This window comes from Homo sapiens, chromosome 2 (assembly GCF_000001405.40).
Source record: "Homo sapiens chromosome 2, GRCh38.p14 Primary Assembly".
Classification (NCBI taxonomy): domain Eukaryota; kingdom Metazoa; phylum Chordata; class Mammalia; order Primates; family Hominidae; genus Homo; species Homo sapiens.
The window spans coordinates 10,475,598-10,498,961 of NC_000002.12; the positions used below are offsets into that span (position 1 = coordinate 10,475,598).

Below are 23,364 nucleotides of genomic sequence, written 5' to 3' on the forward strand. Positions count from 1 at the left end.
TCCGAGCACAGTGGCAGGAGGCCTGGGCCGGGCCTGAGGCCTCGTAGACCCCAGGCGTGCTGTGCGCAGTGGACAGGATGAGTCTCGATGGGCCTCGGGGTTCTCACTGCCGCAAGGAGAGGGCTGTGGGTGCTTGATTTCAGAAAAGACAAAAATCTCCGCATTTGGGCACGAAAGAGACCGCCGAGATCTCCAGTGCTGCCGCTGGTTTCGTTTGGAAGAACATTTTCTTGCTTAAAAAGCAACCCCATGTCTGAACATGCCTGTCCCTTCATGCTGATATACTCGGTTCTGGAAGCCGAGGGTCGCCGATCTGGTGCGCAGTTAACAGACCTACACCCAGCTTGTGCCGGTCTAACAAGCCACGCCAGAGGGGAAGCTGCCCGGGGCCTCCCAGGGCCCCTCCCTGAAGGAATTGTACTCACGTTCCCATCCCAGCCTTCTGGGCTTTGGCCTCGCCACACCGACTGAGCCACAGTTAATAATTCCACAGCATCTGTGAACCTAAGGACTCGTTTAATCCTCCCGAGACCTTGTGAGGGGAGGCTTGTTAATCCTGTTTCCTCAGGCGAGCGGGATGCTGAATGACCAGCCCTGGACATGCTGGGCAATGGTAGGGCTGGAGGTTGGGTCTGGCTTGACTGGCCCCAAGGGTCACACTGTTGCCCTGAGCCCAGGCACCTGTGAGAGAGCATGGCAGCCTCTGGCTCTTTCTAAGTGGGCAAGACAGGCTTTGAATGAACTGAATTATGCCAACCGTTGAAGGGCTTGGTAGCAGGTTAGACTCTCATACCCTGGGAAGGCCCTCCTCCTGAAGGGAGAAGCGCAGACACAGTACCGTAGCTGCCATGTGCAAGCCCTACTGTGTGGGGGCACCACCCACGTGATTTCATGGACTGCCCGCTGTAGAAATGGGATTGGCACTCTTCATACTTTGTGGTGGAGATGCCGAGGCTCTGAGAGATGAAATGGCCTTTGTGAGTGACATAGCCTGGATTCAAAGCCCGGGAGACACAACTCAAAATGGGCTGGGATACTGCAAATTAGTCACTAAGAATTGGAATTTAAGGCTGGGCTCGGTGGCTCATGCTTGCAATCCCAGCACTTTGGGAGATCGAGGCGGGTGGATCTTCTGAGGTCAGGAGTTCGAGACCAGCCTGGCAACCCTGTCTCTACTAAAAATGCTAAATAGGCGGAGGCTACAGTGAGCCGCTTTCATGCCACTGCACTCCAGCCTGGGCAGCAGAGTGAAACTCCCGCTCAAAAAAAAAAAAAAAAAAAAAAAGAATTGCAGTTTTTAAATCTCCCTCTTATCACTACAGGGTGGGAAAGAGACAGGTGCTGGCCGGAGAAGGGAAACCTTTTCTGAATTGAAGCTATTGGTACCATGTTTTGTTCAGACCCAAAAAAAGACAAGTTGTTGGTCTAGCCTAGTAGTTCTCAACTGGGGTGATCTGGCAATGTCTGAGGATCTTTTTGGTTGTCATGGTGGGGAGAAGGTGTGCGCTCCTGCGTCTGGTGGGTGGAGGCCAGGGCTGCTGCCACACGTCTCATAAGGTGAGGACAGGCCCCACAGCAAGGAACAATCCAGCCCACGGTGTCAACAGTGCTAAACAGTGCACCTCCATCTCCCTCAGACGTCTTTGCTGTTATTTCCTGTTCCCCTGGTGCCGCCTACACAAATTTCATTCATTCATTCACTCTTTCATTCCTTCATCCATTCATCTCTTCAATACTTATCAATAACTATGGTGTGGTACACAATGGGCCCAGGTCGCACCTTAAGGAGCTCACATTTGGAGAGTGGGGAGGAGAGAAAGAAAAGCAAGCAAAGCATGGGTGCCCGGGCCTGGCAGCACAGGGGCAGACAGGACGCGTGGTTCAGCCTGGGGAAAGGGAAGCCTTCCTGGGTGAGTTGACACTGCCCCTGGGACTAGAAGGATGAGTAGATCCCACAGAAAAGAAGTCGTGTGATGTGCAAACATTCAGAAGAGGGAGAGGGCCTCCCCTCTGAGCCTGCTCTCTTCCTGCCAGGCTGTGGCCTGGAACAGGCTCCCTCCCACACTCAGTTTTCAACGGAAGGGCAGAGGCCACCTGCTCTTCAAGCTTTGCAGAGGTCTCCATTGGCAGTGGAGCCAGAGCACGTATAGGGGAGGTGTCTCTTTCATCTCCCCAGGAGGGTCGGCCGTGTTGGGAACACCCCGTGATGCTAATTATTCAAATGGGCTTGTCCTCTGAGAAGCCGCTCTCTGAACTTCAAACATTTTGACCAGTACTAATTGAGCAGCAAAGCATCCAGGAGATTAGATCTGCCCCAAACCAATTAGTTTAACTCTGGAGAAGTTTACCAAACATTTTTCTGTGATCAAAGACTCTTTTTTTTGCAGAGGGTGTGATGCTCCACCCATCTGTCTTCCTTTGCCACGGGTGGACAGACGGCAGAGGAGAAGCGTGTCTCTCCTCTGCAGGTGGCCCTGGTGTCATGGGGTTAAAAGTCTGCGTTTTCAACATTCTCACAATGGCTGTGAGGACCCCCTGTTGTTTCTGTGACTTGGTGCAGAGATAAGAAAGGTCTTGGGGCTTTGAGGGAGGTGGTGCCTGAGACCCCCCTCAGGCACTGAGAGACATAATCCCAAGGCCCGGGGGGGTTCCATGGAAGGAAGGATGGCAAGGCCCTTCGCATGACCGTGTTGCCTAGGCTGGGTCAGCTGCATGATGGCCGTCGTTTGAGTCACTCACCATTCGCTAAGTGGCCTCACCAGTGCCAGGTGCCGGGGATGTCACAGATGAGGGAGAGGCCACCTAGGGCCTCCAGGAGCTGGTGTCCAGTGGGTGGGAGGCACAGCAGCACACGCAGTCATGGTGCAGTGTGGCCACGGCCCTGTGTGCTGCTGAGGGGCCCTGAGCCTGCGCCCTGTCCCTCCTCCGAACGTTTGTACATCATACGACTTTTTTGTGGGATCTATTCGTCCTTTGAGTCCCAGTGGCGGTGTCAACCCACCCTGGAAGCCCTCCCTGTCTCCAGGCTGAATCGGGTGTTCTGTCTGCCTGATGCTGGGGCACCCGTCCTTCATTTGCTTTTCTTTCTCCCCTCTCCCCTCCCCAAAGGTGAACTTCTTAAGGTGGGACCTGGGCCTGTTGTCTGTGTATCCCCCCACAGAAGAGGTCCGATAAATATCGAATAGATGGAGGAATAAAGGAATGGAATTGTGCGGGCAGCATAGGGGGAACAGGAAGTAATGGCTCAGCTGCCTGAGGGAGATGAAGGTGCGTCCCTCAGCTGACGCTTTGTGGTGACTGTGTCTGCTGACACCACTCTAGAATATTCTCTCCCTAGAACAATGCTGACAGGCATACAATCAAATAGATGGATATTCCCTCCCCACCATGAAAGACTCATTTCATGGGAACAAGTCCGCACAGCAGCATGTGGGTGTGCACCCCACACACCAACCCCACCAAAACCCACAGTGTGCATGCCCATGTCTCCCCGCCCACCAGTGACGGGGCGTGCTCGGCCCCCCTTCCTCATGACAGCTGGTGACCCCGCTGCCCTTCCGGCTTTGTAATGGCAGAAACACAAGGACCAGAGAGGGAAGAGGAGAAGGCAAATGTTTATTGACGTGAGTACAGGCGCTCCTACCGCAAGAGAGGAAACACTAGCGCTGCGATTATAAAGGTCATATACCTTGCACCTGTGGAATATTCTCCTGGAAGTTTCAATTCAGAAAATAACTAAAAATTTTTTATGAACAGAAAAATGGAGGTTGCCTTCCCCTTGAGGTAGTAGAAATGCATTTCTCTGGTTACGGACGAGATGAATTTAGAGCCAACAGCAATAGTCACACAAATGGCTTCAGGCAGGGTCTCGGCCACCTCTTGGTTAAAGTTGCTACTTGAAGTTTTCTGTAAGAACAGTCACGATTTAGTAATTCTGGAGCCCCCGACCCCACTCAGTTCGGCCTCAGCAGATATGCTCATTTGAAAACACGCATCAGCTGCCATTTTGCTTCAAGATGACCAAATGCCCCACAAATTAGCCCTGTCATGTATCATGATCCCCTTTAGTAGCATAAAGGGATCCTACATCCATCAACTCCTGTGCAGGTTATCGGGGAACAGAGAGAACGAGATAAACATGAATGTGAAGCAGTGCTGTTGAACCCATGCGTCACCTTGCGTGGTCAATGAATGAGCATTGACGCACTTTTCAATAATCATAATGTTTACAAGTACTTGCTAAGTACCAGACACTGTGCTAAGTGCCTGAGATACCTCACTCAGCATAGACTTAGGAGGTGTGTGTTATGGTCACCAGCTAACAAATGAGAAAATGAAATGAAGTGTTCATTGGCCGGGGCCATGACAGAGCTTGTAAGCCCAGAGCTGAGATGGGGCCCCAGTGGCCCACATATCTAAGTGGTGCGATGCACGGCACAGAGCAGACTATAGAGGCATCTGCATTATTATTACATTTGTATTATTATTTTGAGACAGGGTTTCATTCTGTCACTCAGGCTGAAGTGCAGTGGTGTGATCATAGCTCACTGAAACCTTGAACTCCTGGGCTCAAACAATACTCCCACCTCAGCCTCCTGAATAGCTGAGACTATAGGTGCATGCTATCATGCCTGGCTAGTTTTCTTTTCTTTTCTTTTCTTTTCTTTTCTCTTCTCTTCTCTTCTTTTTCCCTCCCTCCCTTCCTTCCTTCCTTCCTCTTTCTCTCTCTTTCCTTCCTTCCTTTCTTCCTTCCCTCCCTCCCTCTCTCTTTCTTTCTCTTTCTCCTTCCTTCCTTTCTCTCTCTTTCTCCCTCTTTTCTTCCTTTCTCCGTTTCTTTCTTTTTCTTTCTCTCTCTCTCCTTCCTTTCTTCCTTCCTTCCTTTCTTCCTCTTTCTTTCTCCCTTTCTTTTCTCTCTCTCTCCTTTCTTTCTCTTTCTTTCTCTTTCCTTCCATCTCTTTCTTTCTTTCTCTCTTTCTTTTCTCTCTTTTTCTCTCCTTCCTTCCTTCCTTTCTTCCTTTCTCTCTCTTTCTCTCTTTCTTTCTCTCTCCTTCCTTCCGTCCTTTCTTTATCTCTTTCTCTTTCTTTCTTTCTCTCTTTATCTCTCTTTCTCTTTCTTTTTTTCTCTTTCTCCTTCTTTCCTTCTCTTTCTTTTTCTACCTTTATTTCTTTCTCTCTTCCTCTCTCTTTCTTTCTTTTTCTCCTTCTCTCTTTCTGTCTTTTCTCTCTCTCTCTCTTTCTTTCTTTTTCTCTCTCTCCTTCCTTCCTTCCTTCTCTCTCTCTTTCCCTCCCTCCACCCTCCCTCCCTCTCTCTCTTTCTCCCTTTCTTTCTTTCTCTCTCTCTCTTTCTCTCTTTCTTTCTTTTGTAGAGACAGGGTCTCACTGTGTTGCCCAGCCTAGTCTCCTAGTCTCTAGTAATCCTCCATGCCTGGCTAATTTATTTTCTTTCTGTCCCTTCCTTCTTTTCTTTCCTTCTTTCTTTGGTTTGTTCATTCTTGAGACAGGGTCTCACTATGTTGCCCAGGCTGGTCTCCTGGCCTCTAGTGATTCTCCCACCTTGGCCTCTTGAAGTGCTGGGATCTTCAGTGGGAACCCCCACACCAGGCCTGCATCTTCATTGGTACTGCTGTTATTCAGCACCAGAAAAGATCTGTGCCTCTTTGAGGAGGGACACATCAGAGGCACATGGCCCTTCACTCTCCAGGGGTCACAGGGGAATCTTGACCACCCTGGGCACGGAAGTCAGGTTGTCAATCATTAGCCCAAATAGGAAGAGGGACAAGGGCTCCTGGGCACAACACACTCATCCCATGCAGTCTTCCCCAGCTCACTGAAGACCTGTGACCTGTGGCCTGAGTTGTTGACTTGCCTGGCCCTTATTGATCTGATGCTTTTGTGCACAGGTGAGCTCCTCCCTTTCCTTCCAGCCCCCCTGTTGGAGGATGAGAGACCACATAGACGCAGACCCCAAACAGGTGAGTGACGCCAAGCCTAGAGCAGCCAAGTTCAGCTCAGCCCAGAAGGAAGATGCCACTGAGCCCAGCTCACATCACTAACACACAGAATCATGAGTGAACATGACAACTGTCGGAAGCCACTGAGTTTTGGGAGTATTTGTAACCTACCAATAGATAACTGGGGCACAGGGCAAGCTCATAGGAACAAAGCCCAGTCATGGAACTGAAGCTGGGGGCTGGGGAGCTGGCGGGGTTACGGAGCCATTCTCTTTGTCTCTCTCCGGGGATGCATGGTGGCTGTCAACAGCACCACTGCCCCTTCTCTTAGGCCACTCTCAGCAATCTTGCTGCCTCAGCCCTAACTCCACGTGGCCATTCAGCGCAAGAGCTCACCATTACCAAATGACTGGCCCTTGGGTCTCCTTGACTGACACGCACCCTGAACCCAGTTGGCCCAGCTCAGCTGCCGTGATGAGCTACCTGATGCCGGTGGGCACTTTGGGCAGGAGGCATTATGGGGAAGCTCTCCAGGAAAGGGCTTGTGCCAGGGCAGGTAGTGGAACACGGTATTCCATCACTCATATGAGGGAGGATGTAAGGATAGGAAACCTGAAGTGCCTTTCTTATACACTCAACACCACTCTTCTGACACCAGATGTGTGAGTTTTTTTTTTCCCACACACCAAGCAATTCTTCAACAGACCCCAACTGGGTTTCTATAATGCCACTCAGTTCTGACACTGTCGCCTGGAGGTAGCGTCGGATCCCACAGGCGAAGGGCTCCGTCCCACAAGGCTGTCCCCTCTTCAGACGCCAATCACAAGCCCTGGTGTATGACTCGTGTTCCTGACTGACTGGCTGTACATTGGGGGTTCCACAGTCCCCCTCCTCAGGTTTGACTAATTTGCTAGGATGGCTCACAGATCTCAGGGAAATGCTTACATTTACTGATTTATTATAAAGGGTGTCACAGGTGATACAGGTGAGCAGCCAGAGGGAAAGGATGCGTGACACACGCCTGTGGGAAGAGGTGTGGAGCTTCCATGCCCTCTGTGGGCACACGCCCCGCCCTCTAACGCCCCCCATGTGTTCAGCAATCCAGAGACTCTCCGAGCCCCAGAGTTCTGGGGTTTTCATGGCAGTTTCAACATAAGCATGATTGATTATTAACCTGGCTTCCAGCTCCTCTCTTTCTCTGGTGAATGCGGGATGGAGCTGAAAGCTCCAAGCCTCTCATCAGGGCTTGGGATTTCCAGTGACCGTTCTCCTGGCCAGGAGTCCACCAAGAGTCACTTCATTAGAAAAAAAAAAAAAGTTCCTATCATCCAGGAAATTCCAAGGGATTTAGGAGCTCTGTGTCAGGCACCAGGATCAAAGACCGAATATTAGAACCAAAGATTCTCCGAGCACCCCTATCTACAAAGGTTTCAGGAGCTCTGTCTCAAAAACCGGGGCAGAGACCAAATGTTAGAACAAAAAATTCTCCTAGCACACTTCTTGCTCAAGAAATTACAAGGTTTTTAGGAGCTCTGTGCCAGGGACTGGGGGCAGAGATCAACATATATGTTTTTTATTATGTCAGAGAGGACATGGTGAGATTTTCACGTGATAGGATTTTCCTGTCTCTGAAGACGTAAAACAGGAGTAATTTTGCTTACTAGCTCTGAGTCACTTTAAGCACAAGTGATAAACGTGTGTCTTATCACACGCTTTGGATAAAAGCAGATAAAATTTTGGATAAAATTGGATAATTTTATTCAATTCTCTGCCTCTTAAAAAATACTCGGCGAGGTATGGGAGGAATGCCTCCATGCTATATCTTTATTGACACACATGGCAGATCTCACAGGATTCCCCTGGGTCTGGACCAAACACACACAGACCCACTCTTCCCTTTGGTTCATTTTCCTTTTGGGAGTGGTATTTTTTTTTCTTTTCCTGTTTCCACCATCCCTTCATACACCTTCCCACTTCCACATACAGCAGCTTCCCCAAGACATCCATACTAACAACCCCATGTATATGTCTCTTTGCTCATATAATAATATACAAAAATATATATGGTTTTCATCACATCGTTTGCAAAAGTCAGATCATACCTTATACAGTTCTTTGCATCTTAGTTTTCTCAATGAAGTCAACAATCGTAACTCAAATTCATTCTTTTAAATGGCTACATAATTAAGTCTAAGGTGAGAATTACTGTACTTTATTCAACCCTCTCGTTGATAGGTATTCACTTTGTTCCCACAGTTTTCCAGGGCTACAATCCTTGAATATCAAGCCTTATGTATGGATGCTTTTGTGTCTATGTGTTCGTTTCCCAGGAAAAGGATTTTTGCGGATCTGAAGGGTTATTATTCTAACAGGTATTGCCAGATTGACTCTCAATACTCTCAAGTAAGCTGTAACCAGTAAATGAGTACTCATTTCCCCATACCCCAAGAACAAAACATGTTATTGCTGTTTTTAAATTTTGGTAGTTTTACACTTGTAAAGAATCATCTGGGCCAGGTGTGGTGGCTCACGCCTCCAATCCCAGCACTCTGGGAGGCCGAGGCAGGTAGATCACTTGAGGTCAGGAGTTTGAGACCAGCCTGGTCAACATGGTGAAACCCAGTCTCTACTAAAAGTACAAAACTTAGCTGGGTGTGGCAGCCTGCACCTGTAGTCCCAGCTACTCGGGAGGCTGAGGCACGAGAATCGCTTGAATCCAGATGGTGGAGGTTGCAGTGAGCCAAGATTGGGCCACTGCACTCCAGCCTGGGAGACAGAGCAAGATTCAGTCTCAAAAAAAAAAAAAAAAGAAAAAGAAAAAAAAGAAAAATCTGACCACTATTTTAAATTGCAGAGAATCTTTAGAAATTTTTGTTAGTCATTTGGGTTTGCCCTTTGGTGAATTGCTTCTCTAGATCCTTGGCCCGTTTTTTAACTGGGTGATTGTCTCTTACTAATTTGTAAGAGCTCTTTCTTTGCATACAAGACATGAAGCCACTGGCCTCTGAGTTGCAAGTGTTTGTAACTAGCACCTTGTTTATTGTATCTTTTGCTATAAACAATTTTAAATGGCTTAATGTCAACAAATATGTCTGTCTTCAAAAAAAAAAACTTCTGAGTTAAGAGAGTTTTCCCTACCATTAAATTATTAAGTAATCTTTAAAAACAGAAAAAAGGAAAGAAATCTTTACTGTCTTGCTATTGATGTCTTTGTCAAAATCCATCATTTTATAAATTGTAAGATTGAGGACCAAGTAATCTATCTTTTCCCATTAGTGAAAAAGAACATCTTCTTCATGTGTTAGAATCTTAAATGTACTGGGATCTATTTCTGCTTTCTCTGTTTGGTTCTAGAACTAGCTTTCTATTCCAATGCCAACAGTCTGTTACTTTGAATAGAGTGGCTTTCGGGCATGTCTTGATCTGAAAATGCAAATTCCCCCAATGATTCTATTTCAAAAGGTTTTATTTCTTAGGAATTAATTTTCCCCAACAAGCTTTATGATAATTTTATCCAATTCTCTGCCTCTTAAAAAATACTTGGCCAGGTATTAGGGTTTACACTTGTAATCCCAGCACTTTGGGAGGCTGAGGTAAGAGGATTGCTTGAGGCCAGGAGTTTGAGACCAACCCGAGCAACAAAGTGAGAGCCCCATCTCTATAAAATATGTGCATAAAAGAAAAAATATATAATATAATATATATATTAAGTATATAATATATAAATAAAAGAAAAAAGTACTCCATCAGAATTCTATTTGAAGTTGCATTAACTTTATACATTAATTCTAGGAGGGGTACTTTAAGTTAAACATATGCATTCCCATCCAAGCTTTCTCTTCATTCAGTCTGCTTTATGCCATCCAATTAGAGTTTACATAGGACATTATTCTTTCTTGTTACATTTTATTTCTGAACACTTCATAGCTTTGGTTGCTATTGTAAATACACTTTTTTCCATTTTAGTTGCTTATGACTAGAATAGACAGAAGCTGTCAGTATTTGTATAATTTGTCTAATTATCTAGTATCTAGCAATGTCACCAATACTCATTGATAATTTCTAGTTACTTTTACTAATCTCTTGAGTTTTCTAAGTGCATAGTCATATCATCCACAAAAATAGACAAATTTATTTCTTGTTTTCCAAGGTCTCAAAATGGTTTTATAGGCTTTTGATGTTATTGCATTCGCTGGAACCACGACAATATTCAATAATAATAATGGTCATATTATCACCCTTGTACAGTTCCTGATTTAAATGAACTGGTTCTAGAGTTTCACTCTTTAGAAAAATATCCTCTGTTGGTTCTTGGTGAATGCCTTATATTTCCAAATCGTTTCCATAATCTATCATAGAGGTTTTTAAAGAAAAGATGTTACATTTTGTCAAATGTCTTTTAGGCTTAATTGGAGTGTGTGTGTGTGTGTGTGTGTGTGTGTGTGTGTGCGCGCCCACATGCATGTGTGATTTTTCAAAAATTGTTTTCCCTTTGTTTTTGAAGAAGATACTTTTATGCTTGTAAATGTGCACCTGCATATAGTCTGTCACTCATTCTTTCTGATTTTAATTCATGTCTGTGGTTTTTCAAAGACAAAAACTAAGCAAAAGGCTTTTTGCATATGATGGAATAGTGTATTATTGAAAATATTATATATTCAATGACTAGCATCATGGTAAGAGAATCATGAAGTAAGTTAAAGTGAAAAAAACCCCTCAGTATACAAAACCATGTATAGCATCAACCTAGTCTTTAAAACAAGAAATACTCATCTATACATGACAAACCACAGAAAGGAAATACTGTATATAATGTTAATAGAAGTTTGGGTGATTTTTATATTATTACTCATAGTTTTCTGTATTTTCAGAAATTTTCCAATGAACTTGCCGTGCTGTTATAATCAGGAGAAAAAGCACATTTACATTTTGGAATGCCAGTAACAAGAATCTTGAGTCGCTTTTACAGGCACAAAGTGTCCAGGGCTCTCCCAGCACAGCCTGCTTGGAGTTCAGTGGAGGGTTGAGCCTCACAGGCTTTGCACGGCTTGAGGACAGGACCCAGGATTCACCAACATCCCATGGGGCCCGTTATGGGAACCAGCATTACAATATTTTATTTAATCTGAAGTTCCTGTGCTTTCCAGCACCTGCTGCTCCTCCCACCCAGGACAATGCCGCCTAACAATGCTGCTGGAGCCTAGCCAGCACTGGCAGAGCAAAGTCTGAAATGGAGGCTAGGAGACCCACCCAGCCCTGCCTGTGTTCTGTTCATGCTGTGTGACCCTGGGCAAGTCACTTGGCCTCTCTGAGCCTCAAACCCCTTGGTCACAAAATGGGGGGAATCATGCCTGGCCTTCTTCACACATTTGGTTTTGTGGATCAAAATCTAAAAGCAGCCATATAGGTGGGGCTGCTTGAGAAACCACCGAATGTAGTGCAAACCCAGGGGAATTTTCTCACCATGCAGAGGGAGCTCTCTGCTGTCCTCCGAACAATTCGATTGCAAAACAATTCTTATTTAATTGGATTTGTCTGCGTAGGTCAAATAATAATAATTACTGAGAGTGGTAATCGTATCAAGGACAGCTCACCATGCTTCTATTACATAACTCAAGCTTCTCCCTAACGCCCCAATTCAAAAGCCTCTCCCATTTGCCTGTTCGTGACTCAGGATCACCATCAATCCTGTGCTTGCAGAAAGGCCCTCAGCTCCTTCTCCCATGAGGCGAACAAACAGCCGCGATGTTATCCTTGACCTGGTGTTTTCACACCCAACCACAGAGTAAATATGAACAAATTGCTCAACCTTGAAAAGCATCGTCAGTGATCCACATACAGGTATGCCATCAGATTAGGGGCTTTGAAAGGTCAAGGGGAGAATGATGCTGTGGGATTACCTGTTCTTTTAGCTGAAATGCGTTGAAAGCACCTACCTCCACCTGAGGCAGCCCTGGAGGTCCCTGTCTGCCACAACCCCCGATGCCTGGCTTCCCTCTCTGCGCCTGTTCCTGGAGCCAGTTCTTTCCTCCGGCTCCCCAGGGAGAGTTAGCAGGGGGCTCAGGCCCCTCATCTGATTCCGGTTTTCTGGCTGGCCTCACTCCCAGGGCCCCTTGCCCACTTTGGTAAGCAGATCACTGATTAGGCACGGAGCTGTGGGGGCACACACAGTCCATACCCTGGCTGTGCAGCTGCACCAGACACAGGGCATCCTCAGGAGCTGCCTCCAATTCCATCTGCTGAGGCTTTTCAGCTCCAATTCCACCTGCCGAGACTTCTCACCTCCAATTCCACCCACAGAGGCTTCTCACCTCCAGTTCCACCTGCCTAGGCTTCTCACCTCCAAATCTATCCACCAAGGCTTCTCACCTCCAATTCCACCCACAGAGGCTTCTCACCTCCAGTTCCACCCACCGAGGCTTCTCACCTCCAGTTCCACCCACTGAGGCTTCTCACCTCCAATTCCACCCACCGAGGCTTCTCACCTCCAGTTCCACCCACCGAGGCTTCTCACCTCCAGTTCCACTCACCGAGGCTTCTCACCTCCAGTTCCACCTGGTGAGGCCTCTCACCCCCACTTCCATTCATGGAGGCTTCTCACCTCCAGTTCCACCTGCCAAGACTTCTCACCTCCAATTCTATCCACCAACGCTTCTCACCTCCAGTTCCACCTACCGAGGCTTCTCACCTCCAATTCCACCCACCGAGGCTTCTCACCTCCAGTTCCACCCACCGAGGCTTCTCACCTCCAGTTCCACCCACCGAGGCTTCTCACCTCCAGTTCCACCCACCGAGGCTTCTCACCTCCAGTTCCACCCGCCGAGGCTTCTCACCTCCAGTTCCACCTGCTGAGGCCTCTCACCCCCACTTCCATTCATGGAGGCTTCTCATCTCCATTTCCACCTGCCAAGATTTCTCACCTGCTAGAACCAACAATGACTCTCTGAGGCCTCTAGAGCTGCCTTCACATTTCAGGAGAAAAATGACTGCTTACAACTTTTAAGAGAAATAGAAATTAATCAAGCCACCGACTCAGGAGAAAGGCTTGGTCACTCATCTATTTTGGTCTGCTGAGCTGGAACTCAGGGCCCTTTCCATTGTGGACATTCATGCCCTGTAGTTTGAGAAAATGTTCGTGAACGATTTCGTTGTTTATTTCCTCTCTTGTTTTCTCCTCTTTCTGGAATGCCCTTTTTTAAAAAAGTTGGGCCTCCTGGTGGGACCTTCCATTTCTTGTCTTTTTCCATCTATGCCTTCACTTTACCTTTTTGCTCTACTTCCTAGAATTCTTCAACTCAGTGTTCTAGTCCTTCTGCTGACTGTTTCATTTCTGCTCTCAAGTTTTTAACTCTCAAGAACTGTTTTCTATTTTCTGAATGTTCCTTTTCTATACCATCTGTTTCTTGTTTCGTGGGTGGAATTAGCATTCCTTTCAGAACCCAGTAAGAATGATTCCCCGTGTCCCCCACCCCCACATAGACATTTCCTCAGCTTACCTGTTTGTTTGAGCCTCTGTAGTTCAGGATCTGAGATTCTCAGTTGTCTGCACCTATTAAAGTGTGAGTGCGAAAATGGCAATAGGAATTCCGGAACACGTAGCATCGGCAGGGCTGCCAGGGGATCTTCCTGGGCCATTTATATTGAATATGCCCAACCTTTTTTTTTTTTTTTTTTTTTTTTGAGACGGAGTCTCGCTCTGTCGCCCAGGCTAGAGTGCAGTGGTGCGATCTCGGCTCACTGCAAGCTCCACCTCCCGGGTTCACACCATTCTCCTGCCTCAGCCTCCCGAATAGCTGGGACTACAGGCGCCTGCCACCGCACCCGGCTAATTTTTTTTGTATTTTTAGTAGAGACGGGGTTTCACCGTGTTAGCCAGGATGGTCTCGATCTCCTGACCTCGTGATCCACCCGCCTCGGCCTCCCAAAGTGCTGGGATTATAGGCTTGAGCCACCGCGCCCGGCTTGCCCAACCTTATCTGTATCTTTAGGCCTTTATTTTGGAGCTGGTGGGATTGCAAAAAGCATCTTGGTGTGAAGATGCTTTTTTTTTTTTTTTAATCCTGTTTTAAAACCTGGTCACAGGTTCTCAAATGCCTTCAATAAACATTTGAGAGCAGTTTCACACAGAACAGAATCAGTTTTTGAAAATCAGATTTCTATGGTGCCTGCTCTAAGAAAGTAAGATGCACCCAGAATGCAGGACCAGCACCAGGCTGTGCAGCTGCACCTGCTTTGGAATTTCTGGAAGGTGAGGGCAATCACTCTGGCAACATGCAGGCAGAGAACCAGCCTCACTTTGCATCAATCAGCAGTGAATGTGACATACCCACTGTGGCATCTAGGTAAGCCATAGGGAGCTGGCTGTCTCAGCCAACAAAGATTCCCTGGATGGCCTCTGTGACAGCCTCTAGCAGGACGGCGTGGGCAGAATTTCAGAGGGTTCACAGCTCTTCCAGGGAGCTTGCATGCATTCAGGGTCTGGATCTATTTCACAACATGTCTGATTTCTTCTATTCTGACTGCTCTTGTTTCTATCCACTGGGAAACTTCTGATTACTTCTGTCTCGTGCGATCCAGAGTCTCAGAAACAGCACCCTGATGTTCCCTCGAGTCTCTCGGGTGACTGAGTCATGGTTCTCACTGTTTGCAACTCCTACCAGAAAGTTCTACACATTGCCTGCAGGCTTTGGAAGACACCACCCAAACAAAACGTTTAATTTAAAACTCAGTCCCCAGGAGACGAGAGTAGTGTTGTTATTACTTATCGCTTCTGAAGCGTTCTGGCTCTGAGCCTCTGGGGATTCATAAGGCCAGCAAAGCCCCCATTCAAACATTTAGGGTGGGCGCTGCATCCTGGGTCAGCACAGTTCGAAGCTGACCGTGGAGTAAAGAGAAGAGTGGGTGAAATCTCCAATAATGCACAGAATGCTGGGTTTCCAAAGAGAGAGGGATATTTATTGATTTATTTATTATTCTTAGTTTTGTTTTTTGAGATGGAGTCTCACTCTGTCGCCCAGACTGGAGTACTGTGGCGCAATGTTGGCTTACTGCAACCTTCACCTCCTGGGTTCAAGCGATTCTCCTGCCTCAGCATCCCGAGTAGCTGGGACTACAGGCATGCACCACCATGCCTGGCTAATTTTTTGTATTTTTAGTAGAGATGGGGTTTTACCATGTTGGCCAGGCTGGTCTTTGAATTCCTGACTTCAGGTGATCCACCTACCTTGGCCTCCTGAAGTGCTGGGATTACAGGCATGAGCCACTGAGCCCGGCTGAGAGAGGGATTTTTATTCCCGGGATCTGTCATAAGATCTGCCGTGTCATGGAGCAGTCAGCCTCAAGTGTACTCACAGGCAAAGTTCAGTGTTATCTAGATCCAGAACAAGGAAGTTGCCTTGTTCCACAAACATTAATAGAAGCCCTGGAATTACGCTCCAGAGGTGCAGAGCTGGCTGAGCCTGGGTCACTGCCTCAAATGAGTTCACAGTGTCCTGAGGGAAACAGACAGGGAAATGCCGCATCGGCATGCTGGGGCCAGGAGCAGTGGGTTACCTGAGGCCTGCATGGTGTCTGAAGGGATGGGGGAGCCCCAGGGGGCAGTCGTCTTCCCCCAACATCAAGGCCAGACTCAGAGCTCAGTGCTCAGGGGTTCTTGGCCCCACCCTGTAAGAGAGACATGGACAACAAGGAGCAAGTTCAGAGGAGCAGCTGGAGGCTGAGGGGCTTGTCCCCATGTCCTGCGTGTTCCCTCAGGGAACTACAGTTGTTTTGCTGGAAGGAAAAGGCTGGGAGTGGCAAGAGTGAAAGGGAGAACATTGCTGAAAGAAATTAAACAAGACTTAAATAAAGAGGAAGACACCCCATGCTTACGGATTGGAAGACTTAATTGTTAATCTGGCAATACTTCCTAAATTGATCTACAAATTCATTGTACTCTCTATCAAAATCAGGATGGCCCTTTTACAGAAATTGACCAAACTGATTCTGAAATTCATATGGAAATTCAAAGGCCTCAAAATAACCAACACAATATTGGTAAAGAAGAGCAAAGTTGGAGGACTCACAGTTCCCAATTTTAAAACCTACTACAAAGTGATTATAATCAAGACAGTCTGGTACTGGCTTAAATATAGGCATATAGATCAATGGAATAGAATTGAGAATCCAGAAATAAACTCATATGTGTATGAACAATTGATTTTCAACAAGACTGCCAAGACAACTTAATGGGGAAAAGAACAGTCTTCAAGAAATGTTGCTGAGGCAACTGAATAGCCACACACAAAAGAATGAAGTTGGACCCCTACCTCACACCATATTTTAAAAATTCAAAAAAAGATAAAAAATTTTTAAATGTTAGAGCTAAAACTATAAAACTCTTAGAAGAAAACTTAGGTATAAATCTATGTGATCTTAGATTAAGTGATAGCTTACATTTAAGATGTAATACTGGCCAGGCATGATGGCTCACACCTGTAATCCCAGCACTTTGGGAGGCCAAGGTGGGTGGATTGCCTGAGGTTAGGTGTTTGAGACCAGCCTGGCCAACATGGTGAAACCTCTCTCTACTAAAAATACAAAAATTAGCTGGGCGTGGTGGTGAACCCTTGTAATCCCAGCTACTGAGGAGGCTGAGGCAGGAGACAGGTGTGAGCCACTGCACTTGGCCAAAAATGCCATTCTTAAAAACACAGGTTCACACAAAAATGTGTACACAAACATCCACAGCAGCATTATTGATAATAGCCAAGATGTAAAAGCAACTCAAATGTCCATCAACTGATTAATGCATTAAAAAATGTGGTCGATCAATCCAATGGAATATTATTTGGCAATGAAAAGGAATGAAGTACTGATACTTGCTACAACATGGATAAACCTTGAAAATATTATGCTGAGCAAAAGAAGCCAGACACAAAAGGCCACATATTTTGTGATTCCATTTGTATGAAATGTCCAGAATAGGCAAATCTATAGACCAGGAGGTAGGTCACTGGTTTCCAGGAGCTGGGGTGGAGGTAGTGGTGAGGAGTTTCTTTTGGGGGCGATGAAAATATCTGGAATCACATCATGGTGATGGTTGCAGCACCTTGTGAATATATTCTAAAGCCATGGACCGGTACCCATTAAAAGCACTTTTATGGTATATAAATTATATCTCAATTGACAAGGACAGTGAGAGGGAGAAGCAGCAGCACTGGCTTTGTGTTGAAACACCTGGAGGACTGGCAGGTAGATGAGGAACCTGCGGCTCTGTAGGCTCCATCAAAACTCTTGGGTATGGAAAATCCTTCCTTAGAATAAGAAGCTGCTGGCTCGGCACGGTGGCTCACACCAGTAATCCCAGCACTTTGGGAGGCCAAGGTGGGTGGATTGCCTGAGGTCAGGAGTTTGATACCAGCCTGGCCAATATAGTGAAACCCCATCTCTACTAAAAATACAAAAAATTATCTGGGCATGATGGCAGGCACCTATAATCCCAGCTACTTAGGAGGCTGAGGCAGGAGAATCGCTTGAACCCAGGAGGTGGAGGTTGCAGTGAGCTGAGATCGTGCCATTGCACTCCAGCCTGGGCAACAAGAGGGAAGCTCTGTCTCAAAAAAAGAAAAAAAAAAAAAGCTGCTATGAGACAGCACTAGCTACTTCCAGTGGCAGTGAGTTCCACATCGCTGGGAGTATTTAACAAAGCAGAGATTGTGCCACTGCCCAGGAGAGCTACTGGAGAGATTGTTCACACACAGGCTTTGGAAGGCAGGATTGACTAGATGACTATGAGTCCTTTCTGACCCTAAAACCCTGTAATTTTACAATGGATTCAGAGACACACTCATGAGCGTATAGTAGGTGCTCAGTCAAGGATTTGCTGACCCAGCTGATCATGAATGATCCTCCTAGGCCTAAGTCTTGTGCCGCCTCCCAGGTGCCAAGCCCTTTAACCACAAGGAAGCAGGTGTCTCATCCCTGGCAACAACTCTGTCCATTAGGAGGCAAGCCTGCCTTTCCCTGGGCTGACATTTCCATACCCAAACATCAACAACCAAATATGAGAACTGGCCCTTGGAGAGCCTGGCCCTGCGTGGGAACCACCAGTCACAGTTCCAGGAGCCTCAGCGCTTCTCGCCCCCGGCCCTGTGCCACCTCTCCCCGGAAGCCTCTGCCTCAGCAGCCCCTACCCTTTGCATGCCTCACTGGCTGGCTATTTACACAACTTGGGCGATGACGCTGGGGCCAGGCTCATGCCGGGGCGGCAGCTTTCTGCATGCCACATCCTGGAGCGAGGGGAACCCCCCGAGAGGATGGTTACTCAACAGCACCTGTAAACCGTCCCACTGATTCACCCATAAGCCATCCAGGGAGGCAGTGAGGCTGAGCCAGCTTTGCTTTTGCAGAATGAGGGACTGTGCTGTGGACTCAAGCTGTCTCTAGAACACACACACGTCACAAATGAGACCCTTAGAGCTGGCTACAATCCAAAGTAGATGAGTCCAGCTTCTAACAGCGTGCAGGCTGCCACGGTGAGAGTCACGGAGACCGACCCTTGGCACAATAAGACTGTGGACTGAGGCCAGTGCCTGTGGACTGAGGCTGGTGCTGTCTAAGAGTCACCCTCCCTTCCGTACATGTGTACCTTACCACCACGCAATGGCCCTCCGTGAGTGGCCGTGCCCCCCGCTCAGCAATGACCTAGCAAGGAAACTGAGGCTCACAGAGGTGACGTGTCTGTTCTAAGTTCGTGAATGCCAACTTAGAATTGGTGGAGCTGGGAACAGAACCCAGGTCTTCGGACCTGATGTTGGCCACATGGGTGGGCCCCACAGTCAGGACAAGAGGGGTGGGGGCTCTGCAGAAGGATGGGGCTGTGGGTGGACAGCCAGGGCCTTTTCCAGACGTGGGCCATGGAAGTCCAGCAGCTGGATCAAAACCCCATGAGCTGAGCCTGCCCCTATGGATCACAGGTCACAGACATGTCTTCGGAAGCCAGTCGGGGAGGCCAGGGCTGGGGCGGGCCAGGACCAATCCACACCAGAGGCACAACAGCAGTTCCCAAGGAAGAGCAGTCGAGGGCAAGGGCCAGCCAGGCTGGGGTAAAACCCCACCAGGGTTGCATCCACTTAGCTGCTGGGGAAGGGGCCCAACTGGCCACAGAGCCTTGCAGGTGGGCCAGGTGAGGGGCAGGCCGCAGGAGGGAGCTGCTTCCCCACCTGGGAGCCCAGCACTGGCGTTCCCTGCTTGTCCCACATCTGCGTCATCAGTCACCGTGGTTAACAAGGCTCCCCGTGCCTGCCACATGCCGGTCACGGAAGGGCAAGAGGGATGGGATTTGCCCACTGTCCTCCAGAGGGGTTTCCTCTGGGTGCAGAGTTAGGCAAAGTCAGCCTCCCCGCTATGGGTGGGGATATTCCCTCCCTGCTTCCTTCCTTCTTTCCCTCCCTCCCTCTCCCTCCCTCCCTCTCCCTCCCTCCCTCTCTCTCTCCCTCCTTCCCTCCCTCCTTCCTTCCCTCCCTCCCTCCCTCCTTCCTTCCTTCTTTCCTTCCTTCCTTCTCTCCCTCCATCCCTCCTTCCCTCACTTCCGCCCTCCTTCCTCCCTTCCTTCTTTTCTTCCTTCTGTCCTTTAGAGTATTATCCTTCTGCGTGTCTTGACCACAATTTCTTACCCATCTGTCTGTTGATGGGCATTTAGGTTGTTTCTAGTTGGGGCTACTGCAAATAAAACTTCTGGGAACATCCGTGTACCAGTCTTTGCATGGACATAAGCTTTCATGTCTTGGTAAACACTCGGGAGTGGAATGTGGCTGGGTTATAGGCCAGGTGTAGATTGGACCTGACTGTTCTCCAGAGCGGTTATACCTCTCCACACCCGCCAGCAGCGGCTGAGGGCTCCAGTTGCTCTCCATCCTCACCTACACTTGATATGCTCGGCCCTTTGAAGCTGAGTGTGCTTCTGTTTCAGTCACTCCCTGCACACTCTGAGGAAGCCGTCTTACCCTGTGCTGCACGTGAAGATGCGGAGTCTTCGTTTGCTCATCCTGCACAAGCCACCGGGGATCCCCGCACTCCCAGACCCTCCAGCTCCTGCTCACAGCCCACTCCTCAGTGCTTTGCCCTTTCCTATATCTTATCTTCTCATCGGCTTTACCCCTCTGCCGGTAAACTCAGCCCATCCTAAATAAGCCCTCCCTGGGCAGCACCTCCGGCGATGGCTCTGCTGCCAGATCTGCTGAGCAAACGCCCTGTGCCCCGGCCCCATCCTGCAGGCACGCCCGCCTCCTGACCCTCTCTTCCATGCTGCTTCCACGGTGTGGCTCTCCCCTTCCCATCCCACCCCCCTTTATGATGGGGTGCCGTTGACTGCCCTCTGTTCCTCTGTCAAGGTTCTTCTTGAATGACCCACTTGCTCCCCGGCTGTCACCTCCACGTTCACAACCCGAACCCCCATTTCCAGCCATGGCTGAACCTTGCACATCAGCCTCCTGGAAAGTCCTGACAGCAGGTCCCCGGGAGCTTTGCTTTCAGCCCTTCAGCCTTGGGGGTGCATCCTACATTTTCCCTCCCTACATTCAGATTCTGCAAATCGAACTGGGGGTTGGTCCAGAGTCCTGCTCCCACCTCCATCTGATCCCACCCTAGTCCTGCCAATTTCACTTTCTGAATCTTATCCGACCTCCCGGCCCACCCAACCCTGGTCCCCACGCTGTGAAATGAACTTTCTTTTCTTTTCTTTTCTTTTTTTTGAGACGAAGTCTTGCTCTCTCCGGCCCAGGCCAGAGTGTAATGGCATGATCTCGGCTCACTGCAAACTCCGCCTCCCAGGTTCAAGCAATTCTCCTGCCTCAGCCTCCTGAGCAGCTGGGATTACAGGCACCTGCCACCACGCCCAGCTAATTTTTGTATTTTTTTTTAGTAGAAACAGGGTTTCACCGTGTTGGCCAGGCCGGTCAAACTCCTGACCTCAGGCAATCCACCTGCCTCGGCCTCCCAAAGTGCTGGGATTATAGGCGTGAGCCACCGCGCCCGACAAAATGAACTTACTAAAGCACGAGTCTGACCGCAAGCCATTCTGTCACCTGTTTGAGCCTCCTGGGGCTCTTTCTCAGCCCCCAAGTGAATGCCTAGCTACATAGGCTGGCATTACTACCACCTGCTACCTGCCACCTGCCACCCACCCACCTTTGTCATCTGCCACCTCTGGCGTCACACGGCACCCTGAGTCCAGAACTTCTCAGGCCGTGTGCAAGTGCCAGGGGGCTCCACTCTGAAATGTCCCTCCTGCCTCTATGCTTGCCTGCCCTGACCTTGGCTTCAGACCATGCAGACACCCTCCCTCTCGGAAGACCCCTCTTTTGAGCTTATCTCCAAAAGAGATGTTATGCATCCCCCTCACATTGAACCGGAAGCATTGTGCAGGGCTGGGCCCCCCCTTGCCCTCAGTTTTGATTTCCCAGCCTGGCAGAGAATAAGTCCTCATTAAGATTGCTGTGAAACCTGCCCCACTTTGGCCAGTGAGTGAGGGCATGTCCAGAGTCAATCGGTCTGCCTCGCAGACACCATGATTTTATTTAACTGTTTTGTTATGGAAATGTCAAACGTACACAACGTAAACAGTAAACACAAACAAAGAGCAAATAGTATAATGAACCCGCATGCTTCCCACCCAGCTTTAATAACCTTCACGCTTTGCCACTTTTGTTTCATCTTTCCCACCAGTAATCCCCCAACCGGTGATCCTCAACTCATTTAGTATGTTTATACTTCAAAGATTATGCTGTTTCTTTCTCTTCTCCATGCTGCCATGTATCATTGCAAAGAGCATTGGCAGTGGCTTTGACCACTAGTAAATGAAAAGAACAGGGCTGGGTGTGGTAGCTCACACCTGTAATCCCAGCACTTTGGGAGGCTGAGGCAGGAGGATCACTTGAACCCGGGAGTTCGAGATCAGCTAGGACAATGTAGTGAGACCCTGTCTCTACTAAATAAGAAAGAAATAAATAAAAACATAGAACAGTCCAACATTACGAAAGCGATTGCACTATTTTATTATTAATTTCTTATTCTGCATCAAGCATGTGGCACTGAGGGCTTCATAAGCATTATCTTAAGACACTGCCAGAAGTAGGTGTCATTATTATTCCCATTTTACAGCAGCTAAAACTGAGGCTCAGACACTAGGAAATGTGTCCAGAGTCTCTGCTAGTAGGTGGCAGAGCTGTTTAACTGCACGGCCCGCAGGTGTCATTTAACCAGTGACGGTCTGAGGCTGATCTTGGGCACCTGGCGCTGGTCGTAGGAGCCCGTGGATGCCGAGCACCCTGGGCCACCTCACTTTGGGAGACGGTGAGGCTGTGCACACCACATTCCCTGCAATGATCCTGCTAAGAACAGGAGCCCAAGGTGCCAGCCGGCCACGGCAAGACAGGGCCCGCCAGCTGTTTGGAAGAGGCGGCAACAATGAGTCACCGCGCACACGGGCCGTGCCGGGGCCGGGCCGGGGCGTTGTCTGGGTGGGTGACAGGCAGCCGGGTGTGTGGGCTGTGATGTAACAGGCCTGCTGCAGCTGCTGGGTGGCAGGCGACTCACTCTCCTCCTCTGTCATGGCTTTGAATCGCCTCTGCTGCGGGAGGGGCATGGAGACAGCACAGCTCCTCCCCCAGCCCACGGCCAAGACAGCCGGCCAGGTCCAGAGGCCCACCAGCCACTCCTCGACCTCCACGCGCAGTCACCTGCCCTTCATCTTCACCTTGGACCTAGGGGGGACGAGTGGGGGGCGCGTGTACTGCAGTGGATGCTCCTGGCATAGAGCTTGGTGTAGAGAGAGAAGGAAATTCAAGACAGACCCAGGTCCCCAGTGCCTGAGGAAGGGCAAATGCAGCAGGAGTTGCTTCTTTTGACCTAAGAAGGAGAAGGAGGTAAAATGAGAAAGTGATCCTTTGTTGAGTACCTATGGGGTCGCAGGTGCAGTGTTAAGTCTCATGACAGCCCAGTAAGATGGGCATCATTCATTCATTCATCCATTCATTCAAATATTTCTAAGCACTTCTGGCCAGGCATGGTGGCTCATGAGTGTAATCCCAGCACTTTGGGAGGCTGAGGTGGGAGAATCACTTGAGGTCAGGAGTTCGGGACCAGCCTGGCCAACATGGTGAAACCTCATCTCTACCAAACATACAAAACTTAACCGGGCGTGGTGGCACATGCTTGTAATCCCAGCTATTCAGGAGGCTGAGGCAGGAGAATCACTTGAATTCCGGAAGCAGAGGTTGCAGTGAGCCGAGATCTTGCCACTGTACTCCAGCCTGGGCAACCAAGAGAGACTCCATCTCAAAACAAGAAAAACAAACAAAAAAACCCCAAATATTTCTGAGCACTTCCTTGGTCCCTCCACTGTTATTATCCTTGTTTTACAGGTAAGGAAACT

General features: G+C 48.6%; 10 annotated features.

Moving 5' to 3' along the window:
* Window positions 1,194-1,897: an enhancer, noted in NCBI's record as "H3K27ac-H3K4me1 hESC enhancer chr2:10616917-10617620 (GRCh37/hg19 assembly coordinates)". NCBI's record gives its function as "activates a minimal SCP1, AML or CMV promoter by ChIP-STARR-seq in naive H9 embryonic stem cells {active_cell/tissue: H9 hESC(naive)}" and the evidence as "EXISTENCE:reporter gene assay evidence [ECO:0000049][PMID:30033119]".
* Window positions 1,898-2,601: an enhancer, noted in NCBI's record as "NANOG-H3K27ac-H3K4me1 hESC enhancer chr2:10617621-10618324 (GRCh37/hg19 assembly coordinates)". NCBI's record gives its function as "activates a minimal SCP1, AML or CMV promoter by ChIP-STARR-seq in naive and primed H9 embryonic stem cells {active_cell/tissue: H9 hESC(naive and primed)}" and the evidence as "EXISTENCE:reporter gene assay evidence [ECO:0000049][PMID:30033119]".
* Window positions 2,593-2,783: a silencer, noted in NCBI's record as "fragment chr2:10618316-10618506 (GRCh37/hg19 assembly coordinates)". NCBI's record gives its function as "represses an EF-1alpha promoter that drives an FKBP-Casp9 reporter gene in an ReSE screen in K562 erythroleukemia cells {active_cell/tissue: K562}" and the evidence as "EXISTENCE:reporter gene assay evidence [ECO:0000049][PMID:32094911]".
* Window positions 11,539-12,049: an enhancer, noted in NCBI's record as "H3K4me1 hESC enhancer chr2:10627262-10627772 (GRCh37/hg19 assembly coordinates)". NCBI's record gives its function as "activates a minimal SCP1, AML or CMV promoter by ChIP-STARR-seq in naive H9 embryonic stem cells {active_cell/tissue: H9 hESC(naive)}" and the evidence as "EXISTENCE:reporter gene assay evidence [ECO:0000049][PMID:30033119]".
* Window positions 12,050-12,558: an enhancer, noted in NCBI's record as "H3K4me1 hESC enhancer chr2:10627773-10628281 (GRCh37/hg19 assembly coordinates)". NCBI's record gives its function as "activates a minimal SCP1, AML or CMV promoter by ChIP-STARR-seq in naive H9 embryonic stem cells {active_cell/tissue: H9 hESC(naive)}" and the evidence as "EXISTENCE:reporter gene assay evidence [ECO:0000049][PMID:30033119]".
* Window positions 17,865-17,924: an enhancer, noted in NCBI's record as "active region_15305". NCBI's record gives its function as "activates an Ori minimal core promoter by ATAC-STARR-seq in GM12878 lymphoblastoid cells {active_cell/tissue: GM12878}" and the evidence as "EXISTENCE:reporter gene assay evidence [ECO:0000049][PMID:35858748]".
* Window positions 17,945-17,994: an enhancer, noted in NCBI's record as "active region_15306". NCBI's record gives its function as "activates an Ori minimal core promoter by ATAC-STARR-seq in GM12878 lymphoblastoid cells {active_cell/tissue: GM12878}" and the evidence as "EXISTENCE:reporter gene assay evidence [ECO:0000049][PMID:35858748]".
* Window positions 18,005-18,114: an enhancer, noted in NCBI's record as "active region_15307". NCBI's record gives its function as "activates an Ori minimal core promoter by ATAC-STARR-seq in GM12878 lymphoblastoid cells {active_cell/tissue: GM12878}" and the evidence as "EXISTENCE:reporter gene assay evidence [ECO:0000049][PMID:35858748]".
* Window positions 18,165-18,304: an enhancer, noted in NCBI's record as "active region_15308". NCBI's record gives its function as "activates an Ori minimal core promoter by ATAC-STARR-seq in GM12878 lymphoblastoid cells {active_cell/tissue: GM12878}" and the evidence as "EXISTENCE:reporter gene assay evidence [ECO:0000049][PMID:35858748]".
* Window positions 21,956-22,488: an enhancer, noted in NCBI's record as "H3K4me1 hESC enhancer chr2:10637679-10638211 (GRCh37/hg19 assembly coordinates)". NCBI's record gives its function as "activates a minimal SCP1, AML or CMV promoter by ChIP-STARR-seq in naive H9 embryonic stem cells {active_cell/tissue: H9 hESC(naive)}" and the evidence as "EXISTENCE:reporter gene assay evidence [ECO:0000049][PMID:30033119]".